At 37.0% G+C, this 23093-nt stretch overlaps 1 protein-coding gene across 30 annotated transcripts in view; it reads right to left on the bottom strand.

Annotated features, from left to right (window-relative positions):
• The window catches only part of EYA4 (EYA transcriptional coactivator and phosphatase 4), a 291536-nt gene that overhangs the window by 80933 nt on the left and 187510 nt on the right, over window positions 1-23093 (bottom strand). For 21 of the 30 annotated variants that reach the window (XR_007059221.1, XM_047418278.1, XM_047418275.1 and 18 more), the window contains one exon: window positions 4442-4566. Coding sequence is in view for 27 of the 30 variants with exons in the window: in XM_047418278.1 (XP_047274234.1) it covers window positions 4442-4566 (125 nt within the window). In the remaining 3 variants the exon portion in view is untranslated. Of the gene's footprint in view, window positions 1-3016; window positions 3086-4441; window positions 4567-23093 lie in introns of all 30 variants that reach the window. The other 9 variants (XR_001743219.3, XR_001743220.3, XM_017010368.3 and 6 more) reach the window with 1 other exon arrangement.

The raw sequence follows: 23093 nt of genomic DNA, 5'->3' as shown, positions 1-23093 counted from the left end.
TTCATAAGTCAAATTATTTAAATACAATCACGTTAATTTGTGTAGGTATTGTATATGGCTGCTTTTGTGCAACAATAGCAGAGCTAAATAGCGACAACAGAGAGCAGACAGCCCACAAGGCCTGACCTCTGCTTTATTTGCTAAGGTATGCTTGCATTTATGCTATCTCTATATTTTACACTTTAATAATTTTACAAGTGCTAACAATTTCAAAGGAAAATCTATGTTCCATATAAATCTGCAGATGTAATTATATAATTAGGATTAAGGTAGTGAAACACATTAAATTACTTTCAAGAATATTGCAACATACTTAAAGAGCACCAATGTAGTAGGATAAAATCTAAAGGTGATACTATCTACTTATATCAATTAAAAAAAATTAGGCTGGGTGTAGTGGCCCACGCCTGTAATCCCGACACTTTGGGAGGCCTAGGTAGTCAGATCACCTGAGGTGAGGAGTTCAGGACCAGCCTGGCCAACGTGGTGAAACCCAGCCTCTACTAAGTAAAGTACAAAAATTAGCCTGATGGGCGTGGTGGCGTGTGTCTGTAGTCCCAGCTACTCAGGAGACTGAGGCAGGAGAATCACTTGAACCTGGGAGGTGGAAGTTGCGGTGAGCCGAGATGGCACCACTGCACTCCAGCCTGGTAGACAGAGTGAGACTCCATCTTAAATAAATAAATAAAGAATCTTTTTGAACATCTCGAGTTATTGGAATGATCTTGAAAAGCTATTAAATTAGTTCTTTTCTTTTGCCTTTTGTTTTGTTATAATTTTATGAAGTGATACAATTCCAACAATAAAAACCAAGAATTGAAAATAAAATAGTTTATTCTTAACAGAAGAGATCATGCAACAAATGCTTAGTCTGTGTCACCAACACCCACCATAAAAAGTCATTGAAATTTGGCCGGGCACGGTGCCTCAGGCCTGTAATCCCAGCACTTCGGGAGGCTGAGGCGGGCCGATCACGAAGTCAGGAGATCGAGACCGCCCTGGCTAACACGGTGAAACCCCATCTCTACTAAAAATACAAAAAATTAGCTGGGTGTCGTGGCGGGTGCCTGTAGTCCCAGCTACTCGGGAGGCTGAGGCAGGAGAATGGCATGAACCCGGGAGGCGGAGCTTGCAGTGAGCGGAGATCGCGCCACTGCACTCCAGCCTGGGTGACAGAGCAAGACTCCGTTTCAAAAAAAAAAAAGTCATTGAAATTCATTAAAAGTTTCATATAATATGCTACCAGGACTACATTATTAATAATCAAAGTTTATCTAACATTTTGTTACCAAAAGTTTGCTTTCTTTAGCCCAGTTTACACATTTCTAAATGCAACTAAATTTATCTGACCAAATGGAGTCTGTTAACACAATGCATATTTTCATTTTCCTTAAAAAGCTGTTGCCTATTATTGCATTACTAATTAAAGAAAGGAAGACATACTGATATTTATTGTTAAGCAATTTATATACATTATCTAAGACAAAAGTCTTGCCAAGAAGTATTATTATCATCCTTTTATAGAAAGGAATTGAAGCTCAGAGAGCTTAAGTAACTTGTTCAAGGTGACACAGCCAGTATGTGTAGTGCTAAGATCCAGATCCACAGTGGCCCTGACGCACAACTCCTTGTTCTTCTCCCATGGACTCACGAGTTTTAACACTGACATTAAGAACCAGGAAAGCCTGATGCTTACCACTTAGAAAAATGTTTCTGGTTGAGATCAGAGGTAAATTACTATTTATTGCACATATTCACTATTATAATGTTGCTTGTGTTAAACACTATTTGAGAACAGACCACAGCCAGTAAGCTAAGAACATTTTTTTACATATTAAATGTTTAAAAAGTTGTCAAAATTACAATATTTCATGACACATGAAAATTATATGAAATTTAAATTTTAGGGCCCATGAAGTTTTATTGGACCATAGCCATGCTTATTCATTTACATATTTTCTATGTTGCTTTTGCACTATGATGGCAGAGCTGAGCAGCTGAAACACAGACATGTGGCCTACAAAGCCAAAAATACTTACTATCTGGCCCTTTAGAGAAAAAGACCCTGCTATAGAATTAAGAGTATCTAAATTCTAGCAACATAATTTTAAGTATGAAAAGTATATTTAAGTATAAAATTGAAAAACATTAAAACTAAAACTATACAAATACAAATAATGAGCATATTGAAGTAGTTTTTCTTCACTGATCATATATTCTAATTTCATCAGAGATAGAGCAAGGTCCAGGCAAACTGTGCCTATTCTAACTGCTTGTTTGTGATGCACATTTCCAATAGGCATGAGCTCCTTTTTGATTCTACAACTGGGTGGTGCCACAAAAATGTGATGGCTTTGTTCTAATTGATTTTTTTTAGGATATTAGAATTTGATTTAGGAGAAAGTTTGTTTATATGTGTGTAGGTATGAATGCAGTTAATATCCATAGTTCAAAAAAATTTAAAAGCCAATATTAATTTCTAGTTTTAAATGTATAGCTTTCATTACTGATAATTTTTAAGGTGAGGGGATATTGATTATTAATGTTACCTTATATACTTTGGAATATTTCTCAAAGTCTGTAGAGTAGCAAATATCTTTCCTTAATTAAGAATTTAATTTAAATTATGAAAGTCTGTGGGTTATGAAGGTGATTAAGTTTGCATGCGTGGCCATTCTGCTTCAATTGCTGTTTGACATGGCAGTTGTTGGGCAAAATTAATCATGTAATAAACTGATAAATAGTTAGAAAACCAATATATGCATCATTTAGGTGAAATTATGAAAAATTTAAGAAAAGAATACTAATACTACTGACCTAAAAAAATCTAAGAATACAGATTGATAAGAAATCATAACCAACTGCTGTCAATAAACAACTAAAAGGCATGTTCATTTTTCCTTTTTAAGTACTGAACACAGAAAAGAGATGCAAACATAGACATAGCAACAGACAGCAATCCAGAGGGGCAAATCCACACACCCAAACACATGCAGTGTACCAGCATCTCTCATACTTGTTGCAGAAGAGGGGGTGTTGCAACTCAGCAACCAGTCTGCTGTGTTTAAAACAGTCATGTTTTCCCCTGAGAACAGGAACAGTATAAAAGTTCATTGTCTGAATGCCTGCTGAGTGGATATGAATAATCTTCAATGCTTGCACTGGTTTCTGACCTTTTAGCCAAAATTATAACTGCACTGTATGACTTCAACATTTTAGTTTATCAGGTCTGTTTTAGTTCAGTCAAATATATACATATGATGATTAGTGAACTTCACCAGTCTGTTCCTAGAGTGCTTGAGTTTTTAAATTTTATTATTTGTACCCAATTTAAGGTTTAAATGTACCTTACTCTAGTTTTCATCACTAAATATTCTATACATTTGCAATTGCATAATTAATTAGCTGAAATTACAGATGCATGTTTAGAGACAAATAAACATCATAAACAAGGAAAATGTTAATCTACAAGGGAACTGGTGTAAAACATTATTAAATACAGGTAAGTTGCAATGCACACAACCTTACAGAGAAAACTTTAGATTGCATCGTTATTCTAAAATAAATGGGAAGAGGTGTATCAATTTCACAGATATTTATTTAAAATTTAAAAGAAAATATGATGTGGCAAATGCTAATATCTAAATTAAATGTCATATAATTCTAAATTTATTGGCTAGATGGATCTACAAAATTTCAAATTGTGAATAATTTAAAATACAGTCTATATATAAGTGTATACATAATCTCTACAAACACACATTCTGATATAAAAATTGGACCATATTTTCTGACAAGTTGAATACATTTTATAAAAATAATAAAGCAGAATATCTGAAGTAATAGCTATTATTGTTGTCATGCTGTGGCGTAATTATGGGCTAATAGAATGAGAAATTATCTGAAAAAAATGCAATTCCTTTTTAAATAAATGTTAAGTGTTATTCTCTTTGAAAAGAAAATGCAGCAGATATGAGTATTTTTGTATTTCCAAAACCATGTGTTTTTTTAAAAAAGCACTTTTAAGAAGAAACATTTTTAAGAAAAATGTTTATAATTCAAAATAAAACCAAAAAGTAGTAAGTGTGTACACACACACATACAGACATTTTTGCTAATACCAGGGTGGAAATCCTTTGACCTCAATTTCTAAAGTTTGTGGAATATTTACAAGGGCAAATACAAAAAGAAAGCCTTGTTCAAGGCCCTTGAAATGTTGCTCAATGCTATCTATTCTCTGTGAATGTTCCCAGCTATACAGGAGGAGCAAAAATTTCAAGAAAATCATCAAAACAATCAATATTAATTATATATACCTTGGATATAATGCTGATTTGTGTTATTGATAATAAGATATTTATTTATTAGCAGATCTCTAAGAAGTAAAATTAAAGCAAACATTGAAATATGATTCTGGGTATCTTCAGGGTAGTACACTTACCTCCTGTCCCATTTGTAGTAACTGATGTGCTGCTGAGATTAGATTTTTCCAGTTTGGAGCTACCTGGAGTATCACCACCTCCAACAAGAGTATGAGGACTTGCTAGGTCCTGCATTTCCATAGACCTGGTAGAGCAGTAAGCAGCAGAGAAAAGTTGAAATTGCAGCAGTTATTTTTTAATAGATTACAAATATTATTCTATTGACCACGTGATCTCACAGTAATAATTAAAACCAGTATCTAAGACTTAGTCAACCAGATGAACATGCCAGTTCATGAGAAACAAACATACAAACAAATGCATAAATAAATAAGAAAAGCTTCCCTAGTAAGTTAAGCCTCATAACCGGTTTGTAATAACATAACACGTTATTATAACATATTATAACATAATATGGAAAACATGTTATTACTAACACAAAAATAAACATGTTATCACTGACATATAAAAATAACAAAAAATAATCCTATGACTATTCCATATAATACTGTAAGAAAAAATGCAGATTCTGTCATCTTGGCAATTTAAGCTGATATGCATACCCACCCTCCTAAACTGATCACCTTAGCTACACACTAGAGAGCTGAAAATGTTTAATTACCTAAATTTGGCATCCCCTGCCACCAATATGGAAGAAATCAGTAGCTAGAAATAAAGTGTGAACTCCAAATCAAGCAGAAGCTTCCAGCTGACCTTGTTGACCCAGGGAGTCAAAAAATGAGCCCAAGTCCTGACAGCTGGTTTTGTAACACTTTTAGTATGCATTCAGGAATAGGACTTTGACTTAAGTTTGCTCCAGAGATTGTGCTACAACTGGGATAAAATAAAATTGGGATTCTTGAAGGGCTGACCATCTTTTGAAAAGGAAACTAGAGGCCGGGCGCGGTGGCTCACGCCTGTAATCCCAGCACTTCGGGAGGCCGAGGCGAGTGGATCACGAGGTCAGGAGATCGAGACCATCCTGGCTAACACGGTGAAACCCCGTCTCTACTACAAATACAAAAAAAATCAGCCGGGCTTGGTGGCGGGCGCCTGTAGTCCCAGCTACTCCGGAGGCTGAGGCAGGAGAGTGGTGTGAACCTGGGATGCGGAGCTTGCAGTGAGTGGAGATTGCGCCACTGCACTCCAGCCGGAGCGACAGAGCGAGACTCTGTTTCAAAAGAAAAAAAAAAAAAAGAAAAAGGAAAGGAAACTAGGAAAAAGAACTGTGCAGTAGCCCAAAGAAGCTACACATGCTTTCATGGAAGAAAGAAACATAAAGATCAATAAAAGTTGAGAGAATTTCTCACCAACAACCTGAACTATAACAAATACTAAAGGAAGACCTTCAGCTCAAAGAAAAGATACCAGAGGAAAACTCAGACCTACAGGAAAGAATTAAGAATAACATAAATGTAAATATATAGGTAAATATAAAAGATTATCTTTTATTTTTCTCTTAATTCATGAAAGACAGCCTATTGAAGCAAAAATAATTGCACTGTATACAGGGACTTATATAATATGTGACAACAACAGCAAAAAGTGGGGTGAAATTATATTTTTCAAGGTTCTTTCATTTGGCATGAAGTGTTATATTAAACTTGGATAAGAGGTTAAGTTTAGGGTACATGGAGTAATCTCTAGCATTAAATGTTAAGAAAAATACCATCAGGTATAACAAAAACCCAACAGAACGATTAAAGCAGCATTTTAAAGAATTCAATTAACCCCAAGAAGCCAAAAAAAGGGAAGCAAACAAAGAATATATGTGAAAAATGGAAAATACAAAGCAAGATGGCACACTCGAACTCAAACACATTGACGATTACACTAAATATCAATGGACTAAACACTCCAATAAAAAGCTGACTATGGTCAGGTTAGATTATACAACCAAGACCTAATTACGGGGGATCTATGAGAGAAGCACTTTAAATATCAGCATACTGTGCTACTTTAGTACGCTGCCCAGACATCCTGAAGAACTCATTCCCATAGCTGCTGAGAGTGTTACCAACTGGTAGCTTTCTACTGAGTTCCTTTCCAAAACTTGCCCTCAACTAAACGGGGTCACTGTGCCCAAGAGCACACTCTTTCTGAGGGCAGCCCTCATCTACTGACAGGTCAATGGAGGGGTAAAATGACTATTCCCTCTTACCCTAAGGGTCACCATAGTCTAGGGCCTCTCATAAGACTAGCTGAGACCTTTGCTGCAACTGTGCTACAGATCAACGTCTCTGAATCCAGCCCTGCTTCCTTCATGCCCCTCAAAAGGAACTAATACTGACAGCACAACCCAAATAAACTCCTGCAGGAAATATCTCAGCATCTGCATCCTGGGAACCTGAAAAGTGATAAGGCCCAAATAGGTGGAGGGTCAAAGAATGGAAAATGATATACCACGCAGATAATTAACATAAAAAAGATGGTCAAGCTAATATTACATCACACAAAATAGGCCTCAAGATGAAGACTATCAGCAAATATAAAGAAAGGAATTGGAAAATGATGAAAAACAATAAATTATTCAAGAAGACATAACATGTGCCTACAAGCAGAGATACAGAATACATGAAGCAAAAACTGACAGAATTAAAGGAAGAAACAGATAAGTCTATGATCATAGTTGGAGCTTTTATGACACAGTTTTCACAGTAACCAACAGAAGAAAAGTAGACAAAAATAAATTTTAAAAAATATACACGTAAGATTTGGAAAGCGTTATCACCAATGTGACCTAATTGACAGTTCCAGGACACTAATACCCAATAATTATAAAATGCACACTATTTTCAAGTGCACATGGAACATCTATCAAGAGGACAGACCTGGGATATAGGTGGGCTATAAAGTAAATATTGATAGATTTTAAAGTTGAAATTTCACAGGGTATAGTATCTGACCACAATGAATTAATTTAGAAAGCAATGGTAATAAGACATATAAAAAATCCCCAACATTTGAAAATTAAACACTACACTTCCAAATAATTTGTGAACCAAAGGAAAAAAAATCACAAGTAAATATAATAAATATTTAGAACAAAATGATAATGAAAAGATCAAATCAAACTGTGGTATGTAAATAAAGTAGTGATTAATGAGAAGTTTATACCTTTAAATGGTTATATTAGAAAAGAAGAAGGATTTAAAATCTGTGACCTAAGTTTCCACTTTAAGAAACTAGAGGAAGAAAAGGAAATTAAACAAAAGGTAAGTAGAAGGAAACAATAAAGAGTAGAAATAATTGAAACAAAATCTGTGAACAATAGAGAAAATTTACAAATCCAAAAGATGATCATGAGAGATACCAATGATTTTGAAAGGGTAATAAGGAAGTATTATAAACTATATTATGCCAATTAATTCAAAGACACACAAAATCAGTGAATTTCCTGAAAGACACATTTATTAAAATTGATCCAATTAACATAGAAAATCTAAATAGTCCTGCATTGATTAAAAAACTTAATTTATAATTAAATATTTATCAAAAAACCTCCAGGGCCATATGGTTCAATTAATAAACACTAGCAAACTTTTTTTGCTACTGTTATTTAAAAAAAAATTTTTTTTAGTAACAATTTTTTTAATAAATTCTTTCAGAAAAAATAGAAGGAAACACTTTTCATTCCATGGTAGGAGACCAGAATTACCCTGACCCCAAAACCAGAAAGGAACAATTTTAAGAAAAGAAAATATGGATATATATTTCTTATAAACATAGATGAGAAAATATTTAACAAAATATTCTCAAATCAAACCCAGCAATAGAAAAAAATCATGACCAAGTGCGCTTTATGCCAGTAATGTAAAGCTGATTTCACATGTGGAAATCAATGTAATTCAATATATTAACATAATATTATTTCCATGAGTGCAAAAAAAATTTGACAATATTCATCATCCATTCATGATACAAATTCTTGGCAAACTAAGAAAAGAAGTATTTTTCCTCTGTCTGATAAAAGCACTCTTGAAAAGTCTATAGCTTATATCATATTCGGTGATGAAATAATGAATTATTTCGGTAGCAAGCCAAAGACATCTGCTTTTCCTACTTCACCACAATATTCTACTAGCAATCTTAGCCAGTACAAGACAAAGATAAATAAAATAAGCAAAGTTTAGAAAGAAAAAACTTTAATTCACAAATGATTTAATTGTTTATAGAGAAAATTCTGGGAAATTCATACCCCAAACCCCCAAACTACTAGAACTAATGAGTGAATTTACCAAAGTTACATGTATAAGGACCTTGCCAGTACTAAATAAAAATATTAACTAAAAAAAACCCTAAAAAATTATAACTTCAGTCAATGCCTCTCCAGTTCAAATGTTGAAATATAAAAGCAGTGATTTTTCAGAGGGATGGAAGTTGGGCTAATCATAGTCTAGCTCCAGTTAAGCTCAACTCTAGGAAGGGTCTCAGTGAACAGATCCTCACCTTAACTGCCAGAGGAAAGAACTACCACTTTTTGGGGAAATAAAACACAAAAGAAATACTATGCTTCAATCGCTATTGATTTATTGTATATAATGTTCAGAACATTATAAATATTTTGTGACCTAACAAAAAGCAGAAAAATATGACTCCTAGTGGACAGAAAACACAGTAAATAAAAGCAGACCTGTTTATGACCCAAGTGTTGAAACTAGCAGATAAGGATTTTAAAACTAATGTGAATATATTAAGTAACTTATAGGAAAAGATACACACAAAAGGTATATAAATATTTATATGCCATATATAGGTATTAATATATACATATCTGCCATATATACATCTGTCATATATGGATCAATACATATATGTATATAACATATATATAAAAATATATGTATTGTTAGATATGAGTTCTAAATTTCTTTTCAAAGAATCAATATGTCAGTATTGATTCTTTGCCTTCTACTTTTAAACTTAACTTCCTCATAAAGCAACCCTTTTCAATTACCTGTTCCACCCTGACTCATTCTGATTACCTGCTCCACCCTGACTCATTCCAATTACCTGCTTCACCCTGGCTCATTCTGATTACCTGCTTCATCCCAACTCATTCCAATTACCTACTACCTGCTCCGCCCTGACTCATTCTCCACCCTGGATAACCATTTTTTTCCACCAGACCACTCACCCTGTCACTCTCTTTAAATTAGCCAATCAGAATTAGTTTAGCCATCTCACCATAGCCAATAGGGGAAAGACACGGCAGCAGGGGCTATGTGCCTCAGGGGTAAGAACCCCTTTCCCTCTGTTGTCCAGGTGTGCACTCACCATTGCTCTATCTGTAAGTGCGCACCCTTCTATAGAAGTATGTTGCCTTGCTGAGAATTAAAAAGAAAATTTTATATTCGAGTGCCATTTCTTTTGCAGCATTGAAGCTTTATTTATAACAGTATGTATCTCTATATTGCATAGGGAGAAGAAATGGAAACTCTTAAAAAAGAACTAAATAAAATTTCTAGAATGAAAATAACAATATATTACATAAGTATTATTTGAGTGGACTTAACAGCATATTGGACATTGCAAAAGAAAGGACCAGGATATCTGAAGCTGGGCCAATGCAAATTATCCAAACTGAAGCACAGAGGAAAAAAGTGGGAGTGGAAACTTAATTGAGTATAAGTAACCTGTGTAATATTATCAAAAAAACAGGAGAAAGAGAATGATACAGAATAATATTGGAATAAGTAATGGTCAAAATTTTCCCAAATCTGATGAAAAACATCAACCCCAGAGCCTTACAGCACCACAAACATCAAATAGGAAAAAGAAAAACCACAGCTAAACACATCAGTCAAATTCTGAAAATAACAGAATGCTTTATTAAAGCCAATCATAAGAAATGCATAGAGGGGAACAAAAATAAAGTTATATGTGATTTCTGAGAAATCCAAACTTAGCTCTTATTATATGTCTTCTCTTTACAAATATAATCAGTACTATCCTGTCCCAATGCCTTACCCAGACATTCACAACTCTCCATTCAGCTTTATCTTCAAGTAATCACCTAGTATACAGTTTCTTGTATCAGAAATGATTATTGTACTATTGTCACAATTTCCCCTTCACAATTTTAGCTTGTACAGCATCTTTCTTGTCTGATAGCTCCTGAAAACCATCTTAATCAATGTTTAAATACCTCAGAAATGCTACTTTCTCCAAACAGCTTTTTCTGGTCCTCAAAACCAGAAGTGACCTGGTCATACTGTCATATTTTTGTTATATTATTTTTACCTTCCTCTGCAGCACTTTTCACACTCTGTCTTAACTTATTGTCATTTGTGTACACGTTCTTCTAGAAAACAAATGAAAAAAAAGAAGCTGCCACAGGATGTCTGTGATAACAAGATTCTTTTTCATTTATCTTTGTTAACTCCTGAAGTGCCCTTCCTATTAAAGATGCAAATAAACAGCTGTCAAACTCAGTAGCTTCCAAACTACTAGATTGTTAATTGAATAAAAAAAGTAAGCACCTCAAATATGTGTACATATTTATTTAGGTGTCATTTATATGTGCTAATTAATTATGTACATTTTTATATAGGCACATTATAGAATATATTCAAAAGCATAGAAAGGAAGTAATAAGAATGAAATAACATTTTATAAAGAGTTGTTCAAATTACTTGACTATAATTCCTGTCTATGATAGAGTAACTGGGACCTAATATTGCCACTATAAAACTAAAACTGAGGAAACAACGTTGGAAACAATTGTTTAGATGGCGCAGGGCTTGGTCCTTGAGAGAAGAAAGAAAATAAGTGAGGTTAGCCCTTGTGCAGTAAAAAGTGTATCGTCCAAACCCTGCACATTCAAAAGAAAGGTCTGTCCCTTGACCAATTCCTGGGAGATAACCTTTAAGCCCTTGGAATATCTTAACTTATTAGAGTACCTGTGTTTAGCTGGAGCCTTGGGCCACACCAGATACTCTTTGCTAACAATGATGCTAACAATGTGATTCCTGGTGGGGGCTTTGAGCCACGCAGAATCAGTCTGACTTATGAAGGGGCTAAAAACAGTAATGAAGGTCAGCCACATGGGTGGTCAGACATGTTTATATAACTGACCTCCAATAATAGTGACCCCTGGGCACTAAGGCTTGGATGAGCATCCACCATTGGCAACGCTCTGCATGTACTGTCGCACATTGTTGTAGGGACAAATAAGTGCTATTTGTACAACTCTGGACAGAAGACAACTGGAAATAAACTCCGGTTTCTCCTGAACTCTGCCCCATATGCCTTTTTCCTTTGCTGATTTTAATTTGTATTATTTCATTCCAGTGAATCACTGCTATATCCTTATTGCCTGCAAAGCTGCCTGAAAAAGTAGTTTCTCAAGAAAAGCAGTTTCTCAAGAAACATTTCAGTAATAAATGAATGAGTGAAATGGTGTGTAAGCCATAACCATCTTAGAAACAGCTGTGAAATCAAGCATGTGAGTGTGACAAGGTGAATTTAAGTGTGAAAAACTGGGATAAATGAGTTTAAATGGCAGTCAGGAATCAGAAGATTTGCCAATCATGGAACAAACAGAAGAAAAAGAGATGTGAAATCCAAGAACAAAGATGAGCTCAAAAACAGTACCAAGTAGTATCTGTAGCACATCCCGATAACAGACTTAATTACAGTCAATGCTAAATGCTCGTAAAGTCATTATCTTCTACTAGACTCGCCCAACCCAAAGACTTTTTTTTTTTTTTTTTTTTTTTTTTTGAGACGGAGTCTCGCTTTGTCACCCAGGCTGGAGTACAGTAGTGCAGTGGTGCCATCTTGGCTCACTGCAAGCTCTGTCTCCTGGGTTCACACCATTCTCCTGCCTCAGCCTCCCGAGTAGCTGGGACTACAGGTGGCTGCCACCACGCCCGGCTAATTTTTTGTATTTTTAGTAGAGACGGGATTTCACTGTGTTAGCCAGGATGATCTCGATCTCCTGACCTTGTGATCCACCCACCTCGGCCTCCCAAAGTGCTGGGATTACAGGCGTGAGCCACCGCACCCGGCCAAGACTTTTAATTTAAATGATCAAACAAATTAATGGTTGCTTACTACATGTAAAGCACTGTCACAGGTGTTAGGATTGCTGAGTGAAGAAAACATGGCCCTACCCTCAAGGAGTTTACCATCTAAATGACAAAGCAGCGTCCTGTGAATAGAAAATTAAAGTACAGTAAGCGTCCATAAAGTGGAACAGATAGAAATTAATGTAAACTTAAAGATTCTAGAAAATGTCATCAGAAATTCTTAGCTGGGTTTTGATGAATTCGAATAAGGGATCCTGGGGGAGGTATCTGCTTAATGATATCACTGAAGCCACAAAGTAGTGTAGGGGCTCATAGCCAATCTGGACGACATACAAGATGAGTAAAGAAGGAACACCGGTCAGGAATAAAAGGATGAAGCACACACCATAGAACGGAGCAGAGAAGAAACAGAAAATGTTACCCCTGAAAAACAAAAACCTCAAAATAAAAATAGCCTTGGCATTCTACATTCCAGTCCACAGGAAACCGAAATGCAATTATCTAGATATTTACAATTTAGTTACTTATGCTTGAATTCATTTAGGTAGGTCAATGTTTCTTGCAACTAAAAGTCTTCAGAGAACAGAGATACACTATGGCTACTAAGAATACAGCAAAAATATTCCTGTATTTCCTTTTATATGTTTTGTGATTAATTTAATTGTGACACTTCATTTTCTTTTTAATTCCAATTTATACAGAATGTAAAATCTATAAATTTTACCTTAGGTTTAAGCAACAGGAAATGATTAATGGGTATCAGTTTTTACTGTGTATATATTGTATGTGATATGGTTTAGGCTTTGTGTCCCCACCCAAATCTCATCTTGAATTGTAATCCCTGTAATCCTCATAATCCCCACATGTCAAGGGAGAGACAAGGTGGAGGTAATCAAGTCATAGGGGCGGTCTCCCCCATGCTATTCTCAAGATAGTGAGTGAGTTCTCACAAGATCTGATGGTGTCATAAGTGTTTGGTAGTTCCTCCTGTGTTCATTCTCCTCCCTGCTACCTTGGGAAGAAGGTGCCTTGCTTCCCGGTCACCTTTTGCCATAATTATAAGTTTCCTGAAGCCTCCCCAGCCATGCGGAACTGTAAGTCAACTAAGCCTCTTTCCTCTATAAATTACCCAGTCTTGGGCAGTTCTTTACAGCAGTATGAAAATGGACTATTACAGTATGACACATTCTGTGTTTGGTTTTTCATATATATATTATCACCTTTAATCTTTAAAATAACGTATTAATATATAATTTTCCACATTTTACAGATGAAGAAATTGAGGCTCAGAGAGGATACACAGCAGTCCCAAGGTTACACAGATAGAAAGTAGCAGCACCAGAACTTGAACTCATGTTTATCTGATGCCAGAGCTCAGACTGTTTCTATCAATTTAAGTGACTTTATTTTATTCACACCATGAAATCACAATCAGGAATGCATATCCCTGAAATAAAACATTTTGAATAGTTTTCAGGTTACTAAAGTCAATATAAGGATCTGCTCTGCCAAATGTACACTGCTCATAATATTTAAAGGTAGTCATTCTTTCTTTCCAGGATGTTTATTTCAACCCCTTGTTAGTGGTCCTTATGTCATGAGGCCATTTGAATATTAGCATCTTTCCAGACAATATAAAAAATGAACTTAGTCATAAACACAAAAACTTAAAAAAGGAAAAGAAAGAAAAATGTAAAGACATGCAACTAGTTTCTGGGGATTTTTTTTTCCTGCAATTTTTCTGTAGCATAGATGGAATTTCTTTCTAATAATTTGAAATATCCTCTTCAAACCCAAGAAAGGGGAAGCCTTAAAACTGTGTAGTTTAGAGTCTACTCGAACTCTGAAGCCATTATTTATTCTGTACAGATCCTGGTAATGAGTCATGATCCTGCTTATTTATAAGTTGACTCCATCAGTTGTTCACAACCCAAGAAATGCAAAAGCATTCTTGATGTTCAAACACTCCCACTCATGCCAGCTTTTTCTCTTTGCATAAAGTGGACATGGGTCTATTTCCCACATTCTCAAGAGTCCACCAAAATAGCAAATTTGCATTTGACCATCAGAATGATTTTAAGGGCAAGACTTGCTCATAATTTTTTCTTCCTATGTGACAAAAGCCTCAATTCTCCTTACCTGAAAAGTAAGAATAACAACAATAGCTTCTATTCACGTAATTAAGACTGTAAGGCACCATCAGGGTAGGATTGTTTTCTAATTTGTTCATGAATTTTTTTCCCTATTCCTAGAATAGTGGAGTATATTTAGTGGGTGCTAATGAATAAAAGGAATAGAAAAAAATGTAGATAAAGTCATTTGGTTACATGGAATCAAATGTAGTCTAGTTCAGCAAACATTGCTTGAGCATCTACTTTGTTCTTGGGACAGTTCTTAGAATACAAAGAATCTTCAAAGATTCCCACAGGCTAGGCAGGAGAGCAAGGGGCTAGGTAAGGGGAGATGGAATTAGTTCTCTGATGGAAATGCATGTGGAAATTTCTTTTTTTTTTTTTTTCCTCAAGACGGAGTCTTGCTCTGTCGCCCAGAGCTGGAGTGCAACGGCACGATCTTGGCTCACTGCAACCTCCGCCTTCCGAGTTCAAGCAATTCTCCTGCCTCAGCTTCCTGAGTAGCTGGGATTATAGGCACGTGCCACCACGCCTGGCTAATTTTTGTATTTTTAGTGGAGACGGGGTTTCACCATGTTGGCCAGGCTGGTCTCGAACTCCTGACCTCCTGATCCAACTGCCTCAGCCTCCCAAAGTGCTTGGATTACAGGTGTGAGCCACCGCGCCCAGCCTGGAAGTTTCAATATTTATATGTGCAGTGTTAGATCTCCCAAATGAGTGAGGGGGGGTGTGTGTGTGTGCACACATGTTTGTGTCTGTGTGTGTGTGTGTACACGCGTGCACATGCACTTTAGAGTCAAAGAGGAAAAATATACTGTGGAATAAAAAAAGTAATAAAGCATCCTGATCAATTTAGATCTTATGAAAATTAGTAGGACATGCCACTGCTGTGTATCAGTTCCCACTTTCTGGAAAAAGTACGGGCATTTAAAAACATCAGGTAACAATGCCAGGTCATGTTAAACCGACATATTTCAGATTAGGATCCAAAAACCACTTGTCACAACTTGTAACCCTGAGCCAATTACTCTGCTGGCAGGCTGGCTGGGAGATGTGGCTCCTCTCCGCGGCACAGTGTCTATATCACTGATCAGGTGGACAGATAGTCCCAGAAGGAGGCCCTCACCAACCCATTTCCCCAGACACAGTCAGAACTGGGGTCAGCTGCAGAGATGGGAACCGCAAGAGGAAGGAGACCCTTAACAAGGACCAGGAAAGTGGTGTATGCATAAAGAAAGGAAGCTGTTCTTGAAATGTGCCAGTGACCTCATCCCTGTCCCTGAGGCCAGCATGAGTGCTTGCAGTGCAAGTGACCCATCTGCCAGGGTGACCTCAGGCCTCGGACTAACAGCAAATAAAGCCATGAACACACTGTTCTCTGGACACTTTTGCAATTTTTCCTTTCCAGGGCCTACAGCTCTAGACTTGAGACCTGCAACTCTTCCCCTTTGTTCACTATGACTCTAACAAATTTAAAACATGTCAGTTCTCTCCAACCCCAAGAAATGTGAATAAATGTTTCCGAAAACCAGAAGCATTTCCCTAAATTTTTGTTTTTAAAAGTCCCCCTTAATCGGAAAACAAAGAAATAAACAAAAATCCAATGGATTTTCCAAGCATTATTTGAATGGCACAGGATTCACTTTCTGTCAGATCAGTTCAAACCATCATTAATGAAGCAGAAAATTATTTTCCTCTAGCAAGTAGTGGAGTAAAGCCATAAGACCACAATCAAAACATTTAATGCCATCAATTGTACTAAGAAACATATCACTGTTTTTTTCTAAGAAAAAACTCTACCAGTAAAGATCAAACTGTTCACAGGATAAACAAATCTAGGTTTCCCAATGTTGTACTAACAAGAGCAAAGCATTGATATAATGTACAAAAAAAAGGTGGTAACCTATTAAAATGATCAGATTTCCAGTTCTGAAGGGACATTAAATGTCCTCAAAAGCAAAATGGAATATTGTGCTTAAGGCTATGAGAGCAGTGTTAAGAGTCTCTACTGTCAACTAAAACCTGAATTTTAAACTCTGCCTCATTTACCAGTCATGGGACCTTAGTCTCAATATTGGAGATAATAATATCCTCTGGAAGGCTAATGTGTGAATTAAATAAGATCACACAAAAAAAAGTATCCAAAGGTTGGCCTACAGTGCATCCTTCATAAATTTTATTACTACAATCACTTCTACAACACAGACAATAAAACAGCCTGGTTTGTCTATTTGAAAACTTGTAGTGTCAAGAAAATCATTTTCTTAAGAGGCAGCCCTTTCATTTTCAGATAACTTATACTATCAGAAAGTTTTCTATCCGGGGCTTCCCTGAAACTTTGGTCCAAGAAAATTCATTTATTGTCATGGGTCAAGTCTAAACCTTCTTTCATATAACAGTCTTTCACACATCAATGACCTGTCCTGCCCAAGAGCTTTTTCTCTCTCAGGGAGGGCATCTCCAATTCCCTCAGTCCACTCAGTCCATCTCAAACTCTTTTACTTTCCTAGCATTCTCTTCCATAAGATCTCCAGGATTCTTCTTTAACAGTGGTCCCCATAGTCACACAGTTGTGGTCCAAAATATGGCAAGGCTATTACAACTCTCACTTGTCAGTGTAGACTGAAGAGTACATTAGCTTTGTCCTCAGACACTGTGCAGTCCTAATTCATGCCTAAACCCAGCCAGTGAAATTCTCAAGTCTTTGTCCCATGTGATGCTTGAGAGCCCTGTGTCCTCCCAGTCGCTCACTACACATGCAGTTGGCATTTGGGACCCGAGTGAACAGCTTTTCATGTGTTTCTCCTAAATGCCATCTTGTTGGACTTGAGTCCATTGTTTCAGCCTGTCTGTTAGATTCTGATTCTGCTGTTCAATGTCCTCTTTCCCAGTGAAGTTCCTATCTCACCTACAAACTTTCTTAGCATGCCCTCAATGCCCTCACAATAAACATGTTGGCCAGCCACAGTGGCTCACGCCTGTAATCCCAGCATTTTGGGAGGCCAAGGTGGGTGGATCATGAGGTCAAGAGATGGAGACCATCCTGGCCAACATGGTGAAACCCCCTCTCTACTAAAAATACAAAAATTAGCTGGGCGTGGTGGCGCATGCCTGTAGTCATGTTGAAAAGCACAATGCCAAGGACAGGTCTTAAAGAGGGTACTAGAGGTATACCTCCAGATTTATATCAGTTCATCGGGAATAGTTATTGAGCTAATTTCTGTCTTTTTCTCATAAATATCCGAGCCTCTGGCATGCGCTTGGCTGAATTCTATGTGTTCTAAGTGTAATGCATGTCTTTGCTCTTCCTTTCTGGTACTGCTGTCACAAAAGACTATGAGGTTACTCTGGCATGTCTTTTGCCTACAGAACTTATATTGGCTTCTCATTATCACTGCCTCCTAATTATTTAAATTTAATCATTTGAGAATTTCATTTTAGAACCAGCAATTCACAAGAAGTTCAGTGGTTCACTGATCTATAGTTTATTATGCTATACAAAAATACAATTGAAGAGAATGATTTTTTTAAGCAAATTTCATGATAAAATCTACATAAGGAATGTGCTTTTATTAGATAACAATATGGATTAGGAATCAGGAACATGAATTTAAGTCTGTGATCCACCACCTAGAAAAAGTTAATGGGTGTGTGTAGATGGGTTTCCAAATATCTTCTCGGGTTTACAGGGCTAACTAATAACTAAATAACACTGAGACTCTTCCATAGACAGGCATTCTGTAGTCTTTTCCTTTCTCTGCCAAGACATTCTGTATCTTTATGAGGTTACTCAACCCATTCAGTTTGAGAGCAAGGAAGTTAGCACCTGCCACGAGGGATCAGAATGTGAAATGTGATGAGAGGGCCCTGTGATAAGTCCCTGACCTTAGCAAACAAAAATAAAACCTTGAAAAAAAAAGACGAACATGCAGTAATATACAAATCAGAGTATATTTGTCTGTCCCTGAATAGGAGCCATTAAAGTTCCACTCCATAGCAAGCAATGGTTGAAGTTGTGTACGATTCATGTAACAGCAGTGTCAGGAGATGTCAGGGAACTCCCTCACTGCCCCAGCTTTTGATACTATAACATGATAGTCTCCATGAAAAAAAAAAAAAAAGTCAACCAGCCGTCTTAGTGATAGGAACTTGGGCCCATTTCTCATCTGGTGTAATACTTCACAAAGCTGATCCAAACACAATGCAGCGCCCTGAAATCAGCAGGAGCTCAGCCCTGTGTTCAGTGCCAAAGAGCAAGATGAGAAATGTGGCTGGCATAAATATTCAATTGGGAAGTTATGGCCAATCTCCTTGCGCCGTGTGTTTAGTGCAACTCAAAACTGCTCCACCTGGTCCTTGCTGGCTCCCTCATGTCTACTGGGGCTGGCAGCTGGGAGGCAGGCTGACCCTTGGAGATCTTTTAATTTGCTGTAGCACCAGGAGAGCAGGCAGGAGGGATGACAATGCATATGCTGGGATTCAATTACAGAGCTGTCTTTTTCCCAGGTGGGAGGCACCACTGACTGAAGAGAATTCAATGCTTCCGTTTGTTAAGGTCCCTAAGGAAATGACTGGTGGTTTGCAAATGCTGGGGGCGGGGGTGGAATAATGCACCATGGTCTGCCCTCATGAAAAAGATATTGGCAAAAAAAAAAAAAAATCAAGAAAATGGACTATTTTATTGGGCTCATGTGTTATCTTTACTTTTCACTTATTTTCCAAAATGAAATCATTCTGTAACTTCTGCCCTATGAATCTCACTGCCAAAAAAGTTTTTAAATATTGCATAAAATTAGATGTGTTCCAACCATGAACATTTAAGGGGAACACACAATGTTATAAATTTAAAGCACTCCAACAGTTCCTAAAAGCTTGACAAAAATACCTGCCATATAATTCTTTCTTTACAACAGAATGTTATAATAACATTAATTTTAAGGAGACTGATCTCAATAATCTGGTAATTTGTCCCTGCTGAGGAGGGATGGTGCACTTCATATTGCACTGGCTTCAAAACAAAGTTCATCAAATACAAGAGTAAGATTGCATGAGGAGTGATTAGTCAACTAGCATCAACTGAATGATTTCTATATGAATAGTTACTTTGCTAATTACAAACCATTATCACCTATTTATTGTAGTAGATCTGACAGTGCTATTACTTGCACAAACTCCCTGAATAGGTAGCTTTACTTTATTAAATATTTCAAGGAAACAAAAAGTTACATTTGTTTGAACTTTATCTCCCCAAGCCACACTTGCCCTAGAACAGCCTATTCTCCCCAAGGCAGTTAGAGTGATAACCAGCTCAATGCAATCAGTCCTCTGCTCTAAACCCTCTAATGCCTTCTCATGTCTCTTAGAGTAGTTCCCAAATTCCTCCCACAGTCTCTAAGGCCTTGCTTCCTTATATGGCACACTGATGCCCCATTTCTTGACCTCATCTCCTAGGTGATTCCCCTCACTCACAGAGCCCCAATTCCCTACATCCCATCTCCCCAGTCTAACCTGCTGTTTGTCAAACACACCCAATGTGTTCCCAGGTGAGGACCTCTGCACTTGATTTCCCCTTTCCCAGGAACACAGTTCTCCCAGCCATTCTTCATGTCCTGTGTCTCAGCTCAAACATCCCCTGTTCAGAGATTCCCTTCCTGCTCTCCTCATACAAAATGAAAACATTTGTACTAATTGCCTACTATCCCATTATCTCATTTTATTCTTCTTCAAGGCAATTATCTCCCTGACATATTGTATATTAATTTATTTAATTGGCTCTCCCTCTAGAATGTATACTCTATGAGAGCAAGAAGCCTAGCACAAGGCCTGTCACATAATAAGTGCTCAATGAACACTTGTTGAATGTATGAATAAATTTTCCAGTAACTTCAATTAACCTACCTAGTTAGACTTAGTTACCCAGGTTTTGCTGCACTACTCAATATTACTAGTTTTTTTTGTGGCATAGTTTTATTGTTTTTTAGAATCAATTCTCTGACAAATAAAAAATATGGTATAAGAAATTTCTCCAGTATAAAGAATTTTATAATCTGATTGATGGAGAATCTCTAATATTTTTCATCCTTAAATATGAAAAGTAGAACAATTTAATAATCATTTAATGAGTTTCTACCATGCATTAGGCACTATGCTTTCTATACATTTGTAAAAAACACAGTTCTACCTGAAGTTTAAAAATTTCTTGAATTCTCCGTAAAACATGGATTTTAGCCTAAGACCAAACAATGAGGTAGAAAGTAAAATTAGTTTATTTTCTGTTTCCCCCAAATGTATTGAAGACTTGATGGAGTATAACATTTAAAATATCTCCTAAACACACACACCTAAAATATAAACAATATTCTCTTCTTTAAAATATTTCTGAAAAGGACATGATTCCATTATGTTTTGGCTGCATAGTATTCCATGGTATGTATGTACCAGCTGGAGGTCATTATCCTAAGTGAATTTACTGCAGGAACAGAAAACCAAATACCGCATGTTCTCACTTACAAGTGGGAGCTAAACATTGAGTACTCATGGACATAAAGATGGGAACAATAGACACTAGGGACTAATCGAGGTGGGAAGGAGGGAGGGGCAAGGGTTGAAAACTAACTGTTGGGTGCTGTGTTCACAATCTGGGTGATGGGATCATTCACACCCTAAACCTCAGCATCACACAATCTACTCATATAACAAACCTGCACATGTAACTTGTGATTCTAAAAGTTGAAATTATAAATAAAATAAAAGAAAACTGAAGAAAAATATTTCTGAAATCCACCAACTCCATAGGATAAAAACAGCTTTCTTTTTTTCCCTTTCAATGGATGAGAAGTCAAAGAGACTTGACAAGTTGACTAAGTTCATACAACTGGTCACTCAAAGCCCCTTCATCAGAGCCCAGTTAGAAATCACTGACTAACTTTGAAACATTTAATTGATGATCATGAAAACAAAACAAAAAAGAAACCCCTGATTCTCATTATTTCCCCCCTCTAGCTATTATCTTTATCGTTTCTTTCAAAACTCAGAATCTTGAAACTAGACTCAATTCCTCATAACTACTTTTCCCCTCACAGTCACCCTCTATCCACTTTAATTAGAATCCATGGTGTGTCTCTGGGGTCACATTCTAATTACTGCTCTCATGGGCATTTTTCCGCCTCTCCTTAATTCTTCCCTTGACCCATTTGGTATATGACAATGTTAATAACTTCTCCTCAACCTTTCTCCCTCCTAAGCTTACTAATGCTTCTGTAGTGCTCCTTGTTGTCTGCTATGCATTAACTGTCTCACTTCCTTTTACCTAACAGAATCTTAATTTTTATTCAGGTATTCACCTCTCACCAGCAAAGGCTGGTGCCTCAAAAGAAGCTAAATCTGGACAGGTGCAGTGGCTCATGCCTATAATCCCAGCACTTTGGGAGGCTGAGGCAGGTGGATCATGAGGTCAGGAGTTAGAGACCAGCCTGACTGACATGGTGAAACCCCGTCTCTACTAAAAATACAAAAATTAGTCGGGTGTGGTGGCGCACACCTGTAATCCCAGCTACTCGGGAGGCTGTGGCAGGAGAATCGCTTGAACCTGGGAGGTAGAGGTTGCAGTGAGCCGAGATCATGCCACAGCCCTCCAGCCTGGGCAACAGAGTGAGACTCCATTTCACAAAAAAAAAAAAAAAAAAAAAAAAAAAAAAAGAAGCTAAATCTACCCTCAGCCCCAGAAGATGGAGGCCTAATTCTTAATCTAAATTAATAATTGTTTTGGGAATAATTAGTTTACCAAATTTGTGCCAATGGGACAGAAGGAGCACTTTGCTGGAGACTTGGGGGTAAGTTCCTCTTCATTCTTCTAGGAGAGGTTCCTATTCAAACTGCCTCTTCCGCTGAATATAAAGGAGGGAGCATGTAGTCTGACTTGTATTACCAGTCATTCTATCCCCAGAGGAGAAACAGATGTAGGACAAATTCACAGCCGTGGATGGCAGTGCAAAAGGAGACAAAGGAAACTGGTTTCTTGATGAAGTTATTGAGCTCCTGGATCAACCACTCTTGAGGCCAGTCTACCTCTGGAATTCCAGTTATGAGAGCAGATAAATTACAGTATTGTTTAAAAGTGGGTGGGTCAGGTTCTCTATTACTTGTAGTTGAAACCATTTTAAGTGATACAACTACTCTTTCCTGGTTTCTTGACGTCACGTCTAGCCATGATGTGCTGTCTTTGAGTGTCATTCTTGTCCTCTTAACATTCTGCTGTCCTTATCTGCAGCCTCAGCCCTTATTTCATCTCAATGAGGTAAGCACCCTTCTGGGGAAATTCCACATGGATTTATGTTTTCAACAACTATTTTTTGTTGATTAATTCCAAATTCATCCCTCCTCAGCCCTCATATCTCTCTGAGCACCAGAACTTACCTATAATTCTATACTGGTTATCTCCACAGGGATTTTCTATAGACTCTTCTAACTTCATATGTCCACAACCAACCCCATCATCATTCCTTTCA

The sequence above is a fragment of the Homo sapiens genome, chromosome 6, assembly GCF_000001405.40.
Source record: "Homo sapiens chromosome 6, GRCh38.p14 Primary Assembly".
In the NCBI taxonomy this organism is placed as follows: domain Eukaryota; kingdom Metazoa; phylum Chordata; class Mammalia; order Primates; family Hominidae; genus Homo; species Homo sapiens.
This window is presented reverse-complemented; position numbering and strand designations above follow the sequence as displayed.